At 34.7% G+C, this 19733-nt stretch overlaps 1 protein-coding gene across 6 annotated transcripts in view; it reads right to left on the reverse strand.

Moving 5' to 3' along the window:
• NELL2 (neural EGFL like 2) overlaps positions 1-19733 on the reverse strand; it is a 413574-nt gene that overhangs the window by 21804 nt on the left and 372037 nt on the right. For all 6 annotated transcript variants that reach the window (XM_011538396.2, NM_006159.2, NM_001145110.2 and 3 more), the window contains one exon: positions 2503-2643. In XM_011538396.2, the coding sequence (XP_011536698.1) occupies positions 2503-2643 (141 nt within the window). The remainder of the gene's footprint in view (positions 1-2502; positions 2644-19733) is intronic.

The raw sequence follows: 19733 nt of genomic DNA on the forward strand, positions 1-19733 counted from the left end.
GAGATGCAAGATACAATGATGAGTTTGATTTTTGATAGGAGCAGGGCCACTTCCTCCAATAAAAGAGGAGAGAGAAAAAGCAGCAGGTATATAGAAATAAATGAGCAGATATATAGAAATAAATAAATAGGCGAGTACGGGTCGTGGTGGAAAGTGAGGCAGATCTCTTTTGACTACTTCTGTGTCTCAGTTAAGTAGGCAGGCCACTGACAGAGAATAAAAAGAAAGGAAGCAGTATTGACAGAGAATAAAGAGAAAGGAAGCAGTATCCAAAGTCTGAGGAGACTTAAGAAGTTGTGAAATGGCTGTTAATTGGAAAGTTGGAAGGGAACGTAACTAAAGAAATGAAGTAGGAATGCTGGACAGTGCTGATGGCCCTTGCAGTAGGTAGCTTCTGAGATGGCCCCAGTGATCCTCACCACTTAGTATTCAAGCCCTTGTGCAATCCCCTTCCCTTGAATGTGGGATGTACTTATTGACTTGATGCTAACAAATATAAAGTGTGAGAAGTGATGGAATGTCACATCTGACATGAGGTTATAAAAAGACTATGGCTCCGATATTCGGCATCTGCTCTTGGATTGCTTGCTTTAGGGGAAGCAAGCTCCCACGCCTTGAGGAGTGGCCCATGTATTAAGGAAATGAGATCTGCCAATAGCCACATGAATGATCTTGGAAACAGATTCCCACTCCCCCCATTACCACTACCACCATAGGCAAGCCTTCAATATAAGAAGAGCACAGTCCTGGCCAAGAACTTGACTGCAGTGTCATGAAGACCCTGAACCGGAGCCACCCAGCTAAGCTGTGCACAAATCCCTGACCCATAGCAAGTGTGAGACAATGTTTGCTGTTTTTAGCTGCTAAGTTTTGAGAGTAATTTGTTAGGCATCAATAGATAACTAATACAACCCACTAGAGATTTGTGATCATAAATTTGAAAGACAGTGAGTTTAGTTACAAACTTAATGTAACACAGTCAACAGAGGTATGTGTATTTTTCTACTCACATCCAGATGCACAGAAAAAAGTGTGCAAGGATACTAACCCAAATTAAACATAGGTAACCCCTAGAGGATGAGTGGAAAAGATGGGGAAAGGGGGGAAGAGAAATGAAGATGCATACTCAGCTTTAATCCATATACATGCTTCTGTATGATTTGCATTATTTATAATCAGCTTATATTCATTCTTTATGTGCATAAATTTTTTAAAAGATGATCTCCATTAAATTCTATAAAATACAAACAAAGTAGCTTATCAGGGAAGAACAAAGTTCCAATGTCTGATCTGTCTTGAAACTATAATCTGTGGTTCCTGGCATTCTCTCCAGGGCTGGAAATGTTCACTCTGGAACATTCACCAGTGCAAGATAAAGCCCTTAGACCATATTTAAGTGGTAACATGCAAATGCCAGGTTTTAGCCCCCAGTAAGGCAACAGCATTCCCATTCCTAGGTGGAAATCCTGATGAAAACTCTGCTCAAGCTCCAGAGCTTGTCTGCTGCCGGCAAAACAGGCTAGAAGCCTTGGCATCCATCACCCAAGTCTGTTTCACTTGTCTCTTTGTGAAAATCCTTTGAGGCACAAGGATAAAAAACATCTTATCATTTAGGTGTCAAGTATCTTTAGGTTAGATTGTCAAAAGCTTTCATTGACTGTGTCATCTTAACCCCATTATCCTCTCAGGCTCTATGAAGTTGTAAATGCAAATGGAGAAAACAATGAGTTCTCAAGTTGTGTTTTGTTTTTCATTCCTATGCCAAGACTTCTGATGGCAAATTCTTTCAGTGCGGGTAGTTTCCCTGACAATTATTCATGGGGCTCTGCTTGCTCTGTCTGCCTGGTTTCTAAAAATCATGCCCCTTAAATAGAGGCTACAGAGGAGCAGATTTGTCAGTCTGTTGAAAATAATTCAAAATTAATGGTAACTAATTGAATATAATCTGATTGAATTTTCTACTCCTCTTAGATTGAAAACTTAATGGAATCAGGGACCATATCTTATGTATCCAACATTCAACAATCACTAAACATCTCTTACTTTGCCAGGCAAGTGTTATGTTAGGAATAGCCCTGAGTAGCATGCATTGTGTATGTCATCCTTGGCCACATCATCATTGCATTTCCTCTATCCCCATTTTCCCTCTATCTTGCTTTTCTCATGTATTTTTGCTACCTGTTTTTGGATCAGATGCTTGCATGCTTTCGTTTTAAAAAATTTATGTGATACTACATGTTTTTTCATTCTAAAAACACCATTTAACAGTTGCAAGAATCCACAGAAAACTGGGTTAGTGTCACAAACTTTAATTATCTAAAAATAACATTAGATACCATAATTAGCAAGAAAAAGTTAGATTTTAACACATTTCCAATCACTGTTGTATACACATATAGTAAAAACACTAACATTGGCTCAATGTCTTCTATTTATAGCTTATGATATATTCCTCAAGTTCAAGAGAAGTTCTTAAATTCTAGGTCTTCTCCTTGTACTGACCTTCACACGATTCTCCACTTGGTGAAAACATCCCATTGTCATGGTAGCCATCTCTGCACTCACAGTGGTACCATCCAGGCAGGTTAATGCAATTAGCACGACTGTCACATTGAACAAAACCATCAGAGCATTCATCAATGTCTGGCAAAAAAAGAGGGATTTTATAAAATTATTTATCTTCTTTGAAAGAAACTAGAATATTCTGCTACAAGGCTACTAAAATTTTTAATGCCAGCAAATCCTTGAAACTGGGAAAATATAAAATTAAGAAAGTCTACTTGTTTGTTAACAGCTACACAGAAAGAATGTAGTGTTATTAGTAACAGGAGAAACATCTAGAAGGCTTCTTTGATGCAAAAGGTATTCCACTGTAGAAAATGGAAAGAATCCATATGTGATGGTCATTAGTGCTGCTCACCAATATTTTAGCTCTTCTAGACACAAGCTAGGATTATGATTCTCCAGGCCCTTCAAGTTAGGTATGGCCACGTGATAGGTGAAGTGTCACTTAAGCCAGTTAAGGAGTGATAAGTGTCACCTCTATGCAGATCCTTTAAGATGCAGTGTGTGATTCACATATGCCCTTTCCCTATCACAATGACTAGCCATTTCCAGAGGCTCTAAAGACCTACCTGAGTTCCTGTAGGAGACAACCTGGGACACATTCCTTACTTACCTGGGATGGACTTATGGCATGAGAAAGAAATCAACCTTAGTTGACACTCTAATATAGATGACAATAGCATTCATGCATCAACATGCTTCACATGTTCAAGTATACATATTATTTATGTCACTTTCTACTGTGTTTCATACATACTACTTCGTTCAACCCTCAAAAAAATCCTGCCATGTAGATAGTACATTGAACATGTGAAAAAAAAAATGGAGGCAGAAGGAAATTATGGGATTTAACCAAAGTCACCTAAAAGTTCACAGTGCCTGACATTCAGGTGTGTGCTCCTTTATAGAAGTAAATCACGCTGGATCTACTATACAAAGACAGCTATGGATCTTAAGTCTCAGATATTTCCTCCAGAGGCTTATTACTATTCCTAAATATTGAAAGCCCTTGATTCTTCTTGTTTCGTCTACTGAATCGTGAGAACATCCAACACCATCCGAGTACCTTCCTTTGCTCACAGGAGGAAAAGCAATCCCTGAAGTTGCTTTACAAAGTGTCTCCTTCTCATTAGCTCCTGGTTTTCAGGATCTTTTGGCTTAACTTAGACTCTGCTATATGATCCAATGGTGCTGAACCATTGTAGCTGCCAAAAATATCCACATGTCTCCCACTCCCATCTTGATAGCCGTATGCCATAGCCGAAGGTTCCAACCTGCCAAGGCAGGATGGTTCTTTCTGATATGCCTCTGACACCTGAATCATATTCCCTGCTTCTGTGACCAGGCACAATGACATCCTTCAAGTTGAAGGTAAGGCAAGATGCTTTTTAGAGACCTTTCCCCTTCAGACAGACTACTTCAGTTGACAGAATCTACTTCCTCCTATTTCAGTCTCATCCCCCTCCAAATTCCTGGAAGCATATATTCCTTTCATTTTCTTATAAAATGTCCTCTTTTCAGAAGTTCAATGTTGAAAGAGATAAATTAATGAATAAATGTATACATAAGTAAAAAAAAATCAGAGAAATGAGCTATCACTCATTTATTTCTTGATAGGTCAAGTGTCCCTTCAGCAAAATAGTATGCAAAGCATCCTCTTAGATTATTAGGTAATAGGCAAAAAATATTTTATATTGCTGTAATATTTCAGCATTATTTCTGAACTATGAATGATTCTGCCTCTGTGGTGCCTCTTCTTTAGAATCAGTTACTATCGGCAGTCATTCTGTCAAAATAATTGTGACTGACCAAATCGGCTAACCACTGACTTCTGACACATAACTGATGTGGATTGTATCCATTTACTGAGGCCTCATAAGTTTTGTGAAATAGTCTATTTGTACTTCAGGGGCTTCCCTAACTGATGAACCTCTGATTATAAATAGATTCAGAATGCTTTGCTCATTTCAGCTTTATATGGTCTTTTCTTCTAACCGCAATGATGTAGAGAATTGATTATGTCATTTCTTAAGTGCATGGACAAAAGAAAACAGGTTGGAATTTAAGCTTTAGAAGTGAGTTTTATTGGAAGAAAGCCATATGGGGGATGGTTAGAGTCATTCGTTTTAGAAGAATTTGGTCACTAGGGCTGGTAATTTGGAAGTAACTCTTGATGGAACTGAACTTTCTCCACTGAAGCAACTTTCCCATTATATTTAGCCTTCAAATTAGTCCTTTCTTCCTACCTTGACATAGTAATAAGGTTATCTCAGTTTCTATGGTATAGATATATATTTCAATTGTTACTTCTCACTTCATTTCTCTCTTGTCACTCCTTTACCGGGCCCACTCCTATACTGCCTCATACTCATTTCTTCTTAATTACATTATGGTAAACTTCCTTGATTTATAAATATACTCCATAAAGTTTAATAGAAATGCTATGTGTTATATTAATTAGTGTTTTGAAGACTGGGAATACAAGCATGTGCCTGCCCATAATGTATTTTCATATAAACTTTGGGCATTATCTTATTTAATTATTACTTTGTAATAGGATTATAGAAGATGAATAGGTAAATATGGCTGTTCCTACACTTTTGATGGGGTTACCTTCCAATAAACCTATTGTAAGTCAAAAAATCATAAGTTGAAATTGTATTTAATACTCTGAGCAACCTATCATAAATTAAAAAAACTCTTAAGTTAAACTATTTTAGGTCAGGGACCATCTGTGTAAGTTTCATGCATTAATTTACATATTCAGTATTTATTGAATGCATTTTATGCACCAAGAACTAAGTGCTGGGGAAACAAGGATAAACAACACAGATGCAATTTCTGCCCTCAGTTAGTTTATCATCTATTTAAATTGTGCTTTATTTTAATAAAATTAAATTTATGAAAATCTGAATTTACAATCATATAGAACAGTATTTCCAAACATGCAATTTATCTGCCACCAGTGATATGGTATGTAGGTGATAATGGGCAGATATTTTATTTTAATGGCTACATATTTATTTTTCTGAATTAGTTCAATTTGTAGCAACTGAGACTTATAGTAGAGTAATAAAACTTTAAAATTTTAAAATGAGAAAAATTACAGAAACAATATTAAGTAAATATGGGTATAAATGGTCTATGAATATGACAAAAACAGTGAAGTTTTGAAAACAGCAATATACAATATAGGGTAATTATTCATCTTTCAAAGGGAGTTGCTGAGTAATTCCTTGTGAAATGCAATGCCTTAATTTATCTAAAATACGTCTGAATTTATAAAAGATACCTATGTCACAGATCAAGATTATATACTTGCTATCATTTAGAATAAGGAAAAAACTAGTCAGATAATATATATAACTTCATATTACACTTTAATGTTCCTACTAATTTTGATTTGTTTATGCAAATTTTTCTACTTTGGTTAGTCAGTAGACAATGAAAATGTGCTTGAATTGACAGAGTATAAACTTCCCACTAGAAGGCATGTTTTTTTCGCTCATGACTCTAATTAAAGCCAAAGATCTAATAAAACAGTCTCATCTGTAAGTGATTTGATGGTATGCATATCCTTATTCACTCAGTAAATACTTAGTAAATAAAGAATTGAAAGCTGATCCACAATTTATGAATTAAGTATATTTTGTCTATATACAAATGAGGACATTAACATGAATTACAACATAAATGCACACATATTTTGAAGTATGCTCATATTGTGTTTCACATATTTTGTAATAACACAAAGCAGTAAAAAAGAGTTCAAATAATTTATTTCTTGGGTACTTTCTTTAGGTTAGTTAAAACCTAACTTCACAGTCTGTAACTGAGTCAGATACACAGAAAATAGCAGACCTGGGGAAAAAAATGTTATTATTTTATTCAGTATAAGAACTTCAAAGTTTGAACGCATTATTTTCCAAACTAAATAAAAGTATTCAAAAAATTAATATAGGCTGTATAAGCTTATATGACTTAGTCTTAATCATAAGGACCTTAACTTTTTACTCTGTAGGTACATTATATAAAAAACTAAGAGTAAATTTCATGAGTTTTATAATTTTATTACATATTCTGTCTTAGAAAGGAACTAGTTCCTTAGAACATTTTCAGTAACCACATTTAGAACAGTCAGCTAGCAATAGTATTAAAATGCTGTCCAAAAGCACAGAGAATCTAAAATCCAAAAGATGTTTAGCCATCCAACAACAGTCATGAATAGCAGTCATACTCTGGGGATCAGTATTGACTTAGATAATAAAAATGAAAGGCACTGCTGAGGGTAGATTTCCTAGAAAGCACACATGTTTTGAGGCAATCATTAAAAACAAACCAACAGGCAAACAAAACAAAACAAAACAAAAACCAAAAAAAAAAAAAAAGGAAAATGTATGAATAGAAAAAAAAAAACAAGCTCATATACATCAGTGTCTTGTTTTCTTTGTCTCTTTCAGGTATGGTAGCACAAGACTGGTTGTTCTGTACAACACCACACAGATCACTGGCTTCAGAGGCAATCAACTGACAATGGCTTTTGCCAGCAGCATTTAAAGGGTCATTTTAGAAAATGACAAATTATTTCTTGTAAAATTAACTGCAGTTGTAGAATGAGACACTTGAGTGATAAACACCCTCTTTCTCATGCATAGTAATAGTTATTTCTACTATAAAATAACTAAGAACAATAAAAAATGTGCAAATGTCTAGAATAATCCATACCTAAAATAGACCCTATACTTTAACACTCTCAAGAAAACTGATTAGTTTCTGCTCTTATATTGGATAAAAAAGGAAAGGAAATCCATCTCTTTTTTTTGGATGAGTCTACTGTTTTTAATGACAGTCACATAGAGTACTCTTTTTCATACTATTTATCATTAATAAAAATATGACATCATTTCTCATTTAAAAATAGGCACTTGTTCTATCTATATCATCATTACATGCACTGTAGTTAAATTATATTGATAAACAGTAGGCAATTAAAGATCCCCAAAACAATGAACTCTTGATTACCCACATGTGGGTTATTTGCTTTCTAGATTATCTGAAACATTTTTTTTAATCAAAAGGTCACTTCCCTCTGTCTCTTGTTGAGCTTCTGGGAAGTCTGCTTTCAACATTTAGGCATGAATGCTGAGAATGCAAACGCATTACATTACTTTAAATGACTATGTAAGATTTGGGTATAAAATATTGTCTAAAATTTCATATAAGAAGACTGATTTTCTCATGAATTTTTTGAAAATACAACATGGTAACATATGTAAGTAAAAATGGAAAACCATAAAATCCTCTGCACAAGTTGCACCCAACATTGCATATTTAGAGAAAATTATTTTCATTAGTTTATAGTTCATAATTAGGAAGTTAATGACTGGTATTCAAAATGCACAGATATAATCTCTTCATCATATTGATTAATCCTTACAAGAGTCATATGAAATATTCTTATCCTTATGTCATAGACAAGAAGGTGGTGACAGCAAAAACAACAGAACCCTTTCAACTCCAAGTCTAGTTCTTTTTTCCCTTATGGTAGGCTGCCTTTCAAGATCAACACTTGGCCAAACAGAATCAGCCTATGCTTTGGAATATCACAGTGTATATCTTAAAGTCAGTGAATTGCAGCTCATTGGCTCTTTGAACTAGGAATAATACTTTCCCTCTTCATAGTTTGCTGTTAACATACGAGGCCTCACAGGAGAAGCAGTAACTGGCTCGTAAGAGGTATCTAATATGTGCACATTCCATGCCCATCTCCAAAATAATCCTTCAGAGTTTACAACACACGTTCACATTCATCATTTGATTACACAGAGGAAAATACAATTTTGTAAGACGGATTTAGGTGAAAGAATGTCTTTTTTTTCTGTGAACAATCAAGAGCCACTGAAAGGTTATTAATAGGAGAGTGATGTGGAAGCTGCACTTTGGGAAGAACAGGTGAGCAGCTATGTGTCAAGCCGGTAGGACTGGGTAAGACTAGAGGCCATCTCACCAGCTTATGAGACTACGTTTTATAAAGAAAAAGGTTATAAACATTTCAACTCGGGAAAAAGTGGAGACAAGGATAAAGAAGCATGTTTTCTTAAATGCTTATCTTTGGTCAATGTACAACTCCCTCTCATGTCCCCTGTGTTGATGTCAGGTTGACCAAGTTCACATTCCATGTCTGGGAGATATACCAGAAAAGGAAAGAAAACTGAGACAATCTGATTTTTCTTTTGGTTACTAGAGTCTTAGTATTTTATTATTTCTTTCTTCTTCACAGAGTCTCTGCATATGTTTTTCCTATTGACTAAAATGTTCTTTTTCTCATCCTCTCACCTGAGTTAGTTAACTATTTCTCATCTATCTGTCCCATACTAAAATTAATGTTCCTTGGGGAAGCTTTCCTGGACTCCAGAGACTATATTTGATCTCCTATTACTTAATGATTTGTCTGTTTCCCCCCATATTCTCCTCGTATTTTGTATCCTTGTAATAGCATCTATAACTATGCTTTTTCTTTTTGCCTAAACTTGCACAAATATTACACTGACTTAATTAATATAATTTTAATTCAGGAGAAATTCCTACCTGTTTTTCTCCCCTGTTCAAAAGCATTTTTAATTTGGGCTTTTTGTCCTTCCAAATAAATTTCAGATTTATTAGTTGGTGGACTTCTCAGCAACACAACACAACAAAACAGAACAAAACAAAACAAAACAAACACAAGAAATTGGCGGGGGGGATGCCTTCATTGATTCTATATATCGACTTTGGGAGAATTGAAATCTTTATATTATTGTACCTTTTAATCAATACATATGATATATTTCCTATTTCTCTAATATTTTACAGATTTCTGAATGTATGTATTGTGCATATTTTGCCTGAACTTATTCCTAAATGTTTTATTACTTTATCTTTTTTTAAATAAACTTTATTGAGGTAAAATTTATATAGGAAGAAAATCACTAATAATTTCATGGCTTTTGACCTTAGCCACTACCATAACCAAGATATAATGCATTTCCTTCACCTCCAAAATTTCCTTCATATCACAGTAGTTTGAAAATAGTTTTTATAAATATTAATTTAATGTTTATCTCTAAGAGTAAATTTCAAATGGCCATAAATTGTTATATTTTACACCATATCTCTAACACTTAGAAAAGAACTAGACACATGGTTAGAGATTCATAAACACATGCTGAATGAATAGACGAATGAATAGTCTGTTTATAACAGCAAGTAAGTAAGTGGAACACTCACTATGCCACACTTGAGTTCTGCTAGGGTTGGAGGGGAATGAAGGCAGGAGTGCCAGTCTGAAAGCATACACTAAGACAAAAATAACATGATAGTAAAATGATACTTCCTCATTCTACTTTAAATGTTTTTGCCAAAAGACTATCATATTAGATGGAGTACAATAGGTGAAGAGAATGTGTTAATTTTACACACTTTTATATACCTGTTTAATTATATGTATTTTTAAACAAAAAGAATACATCAACACCTCTGATTAAAATGAAAGACTGAAAACATTTTAAAATCTCTTCTTTTTTACTTCCAACCCTATAAACATTATGTTAGAGGAACAAAGAAAAGTATAAAAAGCCAACAAAGACAAAAAGAAAAATGACAGCAGCATAGGGGAAAGTATAATACATTTTTGTATTTTCTTGGAAAATAGAATACAGGTGAAGTGGTAGAGATAGAACAAAAGGAGCCAAAGATTAGAGTCTTTATGTGATAATTTGGTATGGCTGATTACTAATAATTATTAGTGATTAATAATATGGCTAATGGGGGTAGTTTGAAGAGTCTTGAAATACCATGTAGAGCTGAGATGAGACATGGAGCTGGAAGTAGCTGAGTTAATTAAAAGTCTACTGATGAATAATCAACCTACTCATCTCCTCCCACCATGAGCAGATTGCTGAAAGCAAGCAGTTACCCTCAAAGGGCAGAGTGAATGTTTGTTTTTTTCCTGCAAGGGAAATAAATATCTGTGGGAAACTAAAGCAGCAGTGTAGAATTTGCTATTGTTTGAATCAAAGTCCCCTGCATTTCAGTCTTTAGATATCTTGAAGTATAAAAACTGGCTCTTTTTTTAGCTTACTAATGTAAGTCTGCAAGCCAAAAAAAAAAAAAAAAAGCCCATCCTCATATCAAAGCTCAAAATCAATTTTCTGTGTATTCACTTCTAAACATTAATGTGAAATCAAGGAGCAATGGATAATCAAGAAAAGTCTATAACATTTAAGAGAATAGCCAAGATACAGTATCAGAAAAACTGAACCTGAAAGAAATAGAGATAATTGGCCGGGCGCGGTGGCTCACACCTGTAATCCCAACGCTTTGGGAGGCTGAGGTGGGTGGATCACGAGGTCAGGAGATCGAGACCATCCTGGCTAACACAGTGAAAACCCATCTCTACTGAAAAAAAGTAGAAAAAAAATTAGCCAGGTGTGGTGGTGGCTGCCTGTAGTCCCAGCTACTCGGGAGGCTGAGGCAGGAGAATGGTGTGAACCCAGGAGGCAGAGCTTGCAGTGAGCCGAGATCACGCCACTGCACTCCAGCCTGGGAGACAAAGTGAGACTCCATCTCAAAAAAAAAAAAAAAAGAAAAAAAAAAGAAATAGAGATAATTGACAGAACAGAACCAAAAATATTTCTAATTAACATTCTCAAATAGATTTGAGAGAATATTTCATCTATAAAATAGGGCCACAGTGATTACAAAAGGATATCCAGAGAGGAATAAAAAGTTCTTGAAAATTAAATATATACTAACTGGAGCTTTAAAAAATGCAATGTTAAGACTTGGAGGATCAAGTAGAAGTTGTCTCTCCAAAAGTAAAACATATAGAAAATAGAGGAAAAATATGAAAAAAGCAAAAGCAAACAAAGCAAAGAGCACCAACCCAAAATCTTCAGCTTCTGATTAAAGAGAAATTTCATACCAAGAACACATACACAAAAATCAATGGGAGAAAAATATCTTTAATAATAATAATAAGTCCAGAACTTTTCTCAAAGCTATTGTCTTCAGATTGAAAGGTCAACCGGGGTCCCCAAACATACTGAATAAAGATATGTTAGCCAATTCCTGTTGTTGGCTATGTGGCAGCTATTGTTCTATGTAATTTACCTATATTTACTCACTTAATGCTGACTGCAGTACTATGAGGTAGGAAATATTACTGCTATCCCCATTTTAAATGGAAGTGAACTTAAGCAATGAAAGTTTAAGTATTTTTTTACAAAATTATTTAGGGGCAAAGCCAAGATCTAAGCCCAGATATTTTAGATAACAGAGGTCTAACCCTTGCCCATACACAATGTTGCCTCACAAATAAATGAAACAAAGACCTACATCTAAATACACAATTGTCAAATTTCACAACAACAAGGATAACATAATGTCCCATTAGGCCATGTAGTTCCTTAGAAGTTTTATGTTCCATGCATTATTTAAAAATATTTTACTGATGATATAGCGCAGTAAAATAAAGGACTAAATTGAGACAGAGAAAAACCTATCAGTAGTTCATCACTCCTTCCTTTTTACAATACTTTCTTCACTTTGCAAGGATACACCCCTCTCTCTTAGTTCTCCTTGTACCTCAATGTCCTCTATATATTAGTCTTTTTTTTTTTTTTGCAGACCTTATCTTCTCAATCTCTGAAAGTTTGAATTCCCTGGGGATCTACCCTCAGACCTTTTCTTTTGTAGCTACCAAATTCTTAGTGATTTCATTTAGTACCAGGGCTTTAAAGGCTTTAAATATCCAAATGCCACTAGTACATTGAAAACTATCTGTAGTGGGCAGAAGAATAGTGTCCCTTAAAAAACCATGTCCAGTTGGAACCTCAGAATATGACCTTATTTAGAGAAAGGGTCTTTGAAGATATGATTAGGTGATAAACTCAAGATAAAATCACCCTGGACTTAAGATGGGCCCCAAATCCAGTGACTGGTGTTTTCGTAAGAAAAGAACACAAAAGAAACACAGAGAAAGCCTGGTGAAGAATGTAAATCAACTCTCCACCACATCCTCAGGTCTCCAGACTTTCCTGTTTCAGTCTGCATTCAGTCAGGAAAATTGGGCCACTACAAGTATTATGGGAATAAGGAGTTTTATATAGAAATCAAGTCTGCACAGATGGGGGAGGAGTTGGGGAAGTAAAGAATGCTTCATTCTTCATCTGGAGTTATGTAGGTGTACACTGGAGTTATGTAGCCATAGCCAAAGAATGCCTGGGGCCACCAGAAGCTGGAAGATGCAAGGAAGAATAATTTTCCTAGTGTCTGCAGCAGGAGCACGCCTCTGCTGACACCTCCAGAACTGTGAGATAATAAATTCCTGTTGTTTTAAGCTACCCAGTTTGTGGTTTTGTGGTACTTTACTATAGCAGTCCTAGGAAAATAGTACAGTATCTTATTTACATTTTTATTCTAGACTTCTCTCCCTCTAGTTCCTACCTGTATATTCAATTTATCACCATCATTTCCACTTGGATACAAAATTTCTCCTTCTGAAGTCTCCCTGTTCTCAGAAAATGGCAATACCATCAGTTACTTGGGCAAAAGTCCTTATATTCATTCCTCTTTTTCTTGCTTTTGTCTCATGCCTTTTATCCAATCATCAGCAAATCCTATTAGTAATGTCTTTCAAATATATCTAGAATCTACTAATCACTTCTAACTAGCTTGATACTTACCACTCCAGTCCATTCACTATCACTATCTCCCTGATTCCATCTTTCCCTCCTACAGTGCATTCTGAATCATAGCAGTCAGAAGATCCCTTAAAAATATATGTCAGATTGTGTCATACTTATGCTCAGATCCTATTTCCCATTCATGGAGAATTTTAGGAGGGAAGTGTCTTGGGATAAAGCTGTAGGGAATATATGCTGTTATCAACAACTTTCTATTGCTAAGGCTGAAGACTACATTTCCCAAAAGCCCTTTCCCTGTGTATGGCTTTGTGTTAGAGTTCAACAATGAGTGGAATGTCTAAATTTGCCAAAGAGAACTAAGGCAGAAGCCATTATTCCTGGGAAGTCATAGCAATCAGTGTCAGTGATTCTAAGAGCTCTGGTTTCTCTACCAATTCTAGTGCATCAGTCTGAAGTGATGAGTGAATGTTTTGCAAATCCTCTGGCTGCAACCTCGAGGATCTTCACTTTCCCAACTCCTCCCTCATTTGTGCATCTTAATTTCTGTATAAAACTCCTTATTCCTATAATAAGGAATATACTACTTGTCTGTCTAGTAAACAATATTTAGCTGGTCACAATGATATAAACACTATGGATTTTCAAATTTTATATACAGTCCATAGGTAAAGCATGAGATATTTAAATATTAACCTTCATAATACAAAAAGAAGATATTGGGAGATGAAGGTAAGGGGCAGAACCAACATCTTTACATTTCATAGGGAGGAATAAAAAAAAACCATTGTAGTTGATACGATGCGAAATGAAGGTGGAAAAATATATTGCTGAAGTCTGAAAAGGTAACCAATAGAGGAACTGAAACTAGTGATATAACTATATTAGAATTAAATGAGTATGAACAGGTGATGGTATAACAGAGATAAATCTTCATCTATCATACCCAGCATTCTACTGATAATGTCTGAAATTGATCAATTAAACCAAGAATGGTATAAACATATTGAAATAATTAAGTTATTTATCCTAGCAGCTTATCTCAACTAAGGTTTCAGAAGAGAATTAAACCCTAACACACCCTCGTAAGCATGGATAAACTTATGTCCTGTATATCTGGTATGGTGCTAGTCATATGCCATCTTTGGGAGTTATGAGAAAATAGTCCCTCAGGTAATTTTCTGGTTTTGAGTTTAGATGAGGAACTCCTTGTAAGAAAGGGTGCTGGAAAGTGAGCAGGAAGTGAGTCAGGTGACTATTTCTTTTCATTCCAAATTCTTCTCTGTTGTTTGGTATCTTTTAACTATGTGTCTTTTTTCTTTGACACACATAAAATATATATTTAAAAACATTTAGGAATCTCATTTTAGAAATGTTGAGTATAATAATATGATAGGATGGTGATTCACATAGTAATGATATGAAGTATGATATGAATGATATGAAGATATAAAGAAAATGAGACAGAAGCTTTGGACAAGATATCAGGGCTGGAAACATGAGGGTAACCTAATCAGAATTGATACTGCAAGATGCTACTACAATTAGACCCAATTTGATGAAAGTACTAAAGTTGAGATTACAGAGAGACAAGAAAGAGGTAAGGGCAGTCCTTGGAGAAAACTGAGGGGACTGGAAAGGGAACTATAGGAGGGATTGTGAGTAGGGAGGTAGGAAGAAGATCACAAGTCAAACCACAGAACTAAAGAAAAAAAGAGTGTCAAAAACAGAGGGTTGCCAACAATGGTAAGGAGTATTTGCAATGGCCTTTTGATATATATTTTAAAATAAATATTTCTGGTTTAACATAGAATTGAAATTCTCTCTGATACATGAATGAGTTGAACAAAGCATTTAATAAAAGAATTCTGGAAACTCCTTAAGACTTTTCAAAAATCTTTGCAGTTTCTATTCCTTTCACAACATAACCAATGTGTAAGATACAAGACTTACAAGAGTTTTATTCATGTTAAGTATTTGAAATAGTCCCTCAGGTCATTTTTTGGTTTCGAGTTCAGAGGAGGAAATCCTTTTAAGAAAGGGTGCTACAAAGTGAGAAAAAGTATTTATTCATTCATTTAAGTATTTATTAAATGTCTATCGTGTAAAAATGTGCTAGACACTGTGGAAATATATTCAAGAGTTCATAGTCTTATAAAGAAGATACAGAATGATCATAAATAACTCAGATAACAAGGTAAATATTATGAGGTCTACAGATGAAGAAAGAGATGAATTCAGGAAAGAGACATCACCTCACTTTAAAGCTCAGTTCAGTAAAAGTTCAAAGAAAATTAGTCCACTGTAGTAAAACATGGCTGAACAGAAACTTCCAGCTTTACTCCTACACATGCTAGAAAATTACTTAAAACATTCATTTATTTACTACATTGTGATCAAATATCTACTTCAAAAGCAGAGTTTTAAAAAAATCAGGTGATATGATAGAGAATATGGATGTGAAGCATCTATTGGCTCTGCATTATTAAGTAGACTGCTCTTAATCAAGGTAAAGCCAGGAAAGTCTTACTTTCTATGCCTTCCAGAGCCATTTTCTAATAGCAAAGATTAGATTGAATACTTGATCTACTTAAAGATTATTTCCAGAAGAAAAAATCTGATTTTCTTGAACTATCCAGTAAGAATAAGAGAGTTATGGTGTCTTTGTATAATAGTTTACTGTGAGCTTTCTAATTATTAATATAGTGAAGCAAAAGACTTTATGCATTTTGATGAGCTCACTTACTGGTTATTCAGAAAAATGAGCTTTGAATGGTATGCCAGGAATGGTAAGATGACAGCAAAAATAGCTATTCTGTATTTATTTGCAAGCTAACTGACAAACCTACATCACAAGAAATACTGCTTTGAGTGAAACTGGCTCACTGATGCCAATAAACAAAGAAATGCAATACTACAGTTTTCATATATCTGAATGAGAAGTTGTCAGATATAGCTTTGAGTGGGTCTTAACCAGAAAATTCACTGATGGATGGCTTCTACTGGCTTTGAGCGAGTGTCATATGCCTGACAGACTGTCTACTTTAAGTCCATTTTATTATAACAACCACTTCCATCTCTGCTGAAACACCCTTTAGCTTGATACAAGTTTTTTAGCCAGTAAGGAAACATCATATCTCTCCCACATAGATAATTGAAGGGAAAAATATACCAACTGAGCAAGCCAGTAACTCCTTCCAATTAAAATTACATGAAACAGGCTATGTGTTTCTTAAACACAGGTTTGCTATTTGATGGTGCTTTAAAACCTCTTAACCACACAACCTGATGGCACTGTCTGGCTCTGTCAATATGAGGTCACTTAATCAAACTTTTTCCAGACTAATTAAATTTTGTGTTCACTTTAACAACCTATTTTTTCATGATCAATCAGATCAGTTGTACAATCCAATTTTATTGCCAAGGCAACCCCAAATGATAGATCAAAGGAAAAGGTTTTCACTCCTGAGTATTTGATCTTACAGACTCAGCTTAATTGTGTACTTGAGTAATGTATCTTTAAAAAAAACCTTTGGCTTGCATTTTTCTGATTATTTAATGTAATAAAGGGAATAGGAAAAGGAAGGTAACTGACAGTTGTTTGGCTGCTAACTGCCAGGTATTTTGTCTATCTTTTGCATCTAATTTCCATTACAATCATTGTTTCTACACATTCACACACAAACCTTTTTTTTAAAAGATTTATATGGTGATAGGAGACATGATATGGGGTACCTAAAAGGAAAACAATCTCTATACGAACAGAGCTGCCACAGCTACTTATAGTTTTCTGTGGCAGAACATATCATCCTGCTACTTCTTAGAGGCAGGTTCCAACACTATAAAAAGGCTTGGTACGAAGTCTGTCCTTCTAGTAGCTTCAGTGCTTTAGTCAACAACATGAAGTATTTTAAAGTCTAGTTTTATCTATACTGTCTCAGCATTAAGCTGCTAGAGCACAGGAAATGATCTAAATGTACAGTGATGAGACAGTGATTAAATAAATTATAGCACGTGCATAAAATGGAATGCTATACAGCTTCTTAAAATGCTTCGGAAAATTCTGAATGTCATGGAAAAATGCTTGCGATAAATATCATGTAAACGAGGTAGGATCAAAATTATGAATAAAATATTACTCCAGCATGTAAATATGCATCTTACTCATGAATAAGATAGCAGTTATCTTTAATTGGTAATATTACAGATAGTTTTTATTGTATTTTGAATATGCTTTTCCATTTTATACATTTTCCATATATGCATTGCTTTTTTAATTTAAAAAGATTTACCAAAAAATATATCAGAGTTGATGAATAAAACCAGAATGAATTACAAGAGTGGTTTGTATGTGCTCCTTACATAAATTAATGTCTCAAGAAGATGGTCAAGGCAATCTCATCTCATCTCCCATTGTACCCCTTCCATAGATTCTGTGCTCTGCCTGCCCCTTCCCTGCACATGAACTGGACTCTTCTGCCTCCATGCTTTTGCCAACATGACTTTCTCTTTCTGGAATACACATTCCCTTCCTTTTGAGGCACCGAAAGTATATTTTCAAGGCTCTTCACAAGTCTTACTTATCCAGGCTGCTGTTCTTAACTTTCTGGGTTTCAGTTCTCTTGCTGAACGTATAATTGAACCAATCACAATCTGCGAAATGCCTGCTAGTCTTACCAAAACAAAATGTGAGCCCTTAGAGGACCTGAATCTCACATTATTCATCTTCATAATTATTGATTATTCATTCCCTCCACTTCTAGAACACAGCCTGGTACACATTAGTCCTCAATAAATATTTGCTGAACTCTGGTAAAGTCATCCTCAGCAAATAGGACTGGGATGCACGAGTGGGATGCATTTGGATTAACATATGGAGTTTTCAGTGCAATCAAAAGGGCATTAATTTAAGCTATTGTATTTCTTCAAAGGAAATTATTATGTAGTAGATTTAAGAACATAACATAAGTGTTAGTCTTTAAAATTTTGGCCCACAGTGACTAGTATAAAACAAGAAGGATCGCCTGGCCAACATAGTGAAAACCAGTCTCTACAAAAGAAAAAAAAACATTAGCTGGGCATGGTAGCAGGCACTTGTAATCTTAGCTACTTGGGAGGCTTAGTCAGGAGAATCGCTTGAACCTGGGAGGCGGAGGTTGCAGTGAGCTGACATCGCACCACTGCACACCAGCCCGGGTGACAGTGTGAGACTCCGTCTAAAAAAAAAAAAAACAAAAGAAAAAACCAAGAAGGAAAATAAAACACCAAGGAGAGAGGCCTGAAAGCTAAGCTACCGTTTTTTTTGGTTGTTCAAAGAATATGATATATACCAACATATGTCACTTTCATTTTCACATAAGCAATATTTTCTTTCAGAATAAATAACAATTACTGGTTTGAAATTTAAATTGGGACTTAAAGATAAGTTGTAAATATTAAATTAAATTTGTCTCACCTTTTAATTGGCACTATTTTAAATATAATACATAAATATAGTTGTAATTCACAATGATAAATTTAAGCACTCTATGCTTCTAATTTCCTATGGAAGTTGATTATAAAACAAATGCTTTCTGTTAAATTGCCTTTATTTATTCCCCAGTGGAATGTTCTTTCTAAACTATGAAGATAACCTCTGTAATTCTTTCCACTGTAATATCTCCCATGACCAGAGATCAAAAGAAATTCACTTAACTAGGAAAGTGAAACTTATTAGACAGGCAAGGATAATTAATGATAAATTCTACTATGTTGGCTGTAAATTTTTCTACCCACATATTTAATTTCATGTTATATTGAAGAAAATAGAGTCATAGTACCTGTTAATAAGACAAATTCCTGGAAGTAATTAAAATAGTTATAGTACACTAACTGTGGAGGAGATTGCTAATGGTTCACAGAAATCTATTTCCTCTTCCTTGTTGGCACATAGCTAGACTACATGAGTTTCAGAAAGTGGAATATGAGTGGTCAGGGTTTTTAGAAAGCAGATGTGGCACTGCCAGTCTCTTATTATTCTGCTGGTTGGATAGAATTAACAAGATCATAGGGAAGAGGGGAAGGGTGGGAGAGAGATTAGAAGGAGTTTGAGACTCTAAAATGTCTGCCAACCAGAAACACTTAACTTTGGGCAGTTACATGAAAAATAAACTTCTATTGTATTTGTCATAATACATTTTGGCTCTATTTACTATTGCTGCTAATACTTCCCTATCTAGGAACTAGTAAAGGAATTGAGTAAAGTTGCAGGATACAAAATCAGCATACAAAAATCAGTTGCATTTCTATACACTAATGGCGAACTATTTGAAAAAGAAGTTCAGAAAACAATACCATTTACAATAGCATCAAAAAGAATAAAATACTTTTATTCTTTTTGTACACTAAAAACTATAAAACATAATGAAATTAATTAAAGTAGATATAAATAAATGGAAAGATATCCTAAGTTCATGGATTGGAAGGCTTCACATTGTTATAATGTCC

This window comes from Homo sapiens, chromosome 12 (assembly GCF_000001405.40).
Source record: "Homo sapiens chromosome 12, GRCh38.p14 Primary Assembly".
Taxonomy (NCBI): Eukaryota; Metazoa; Chordata; class Mammalia; order Primates; family Hominidae; genus Homo; species Homo sapiens.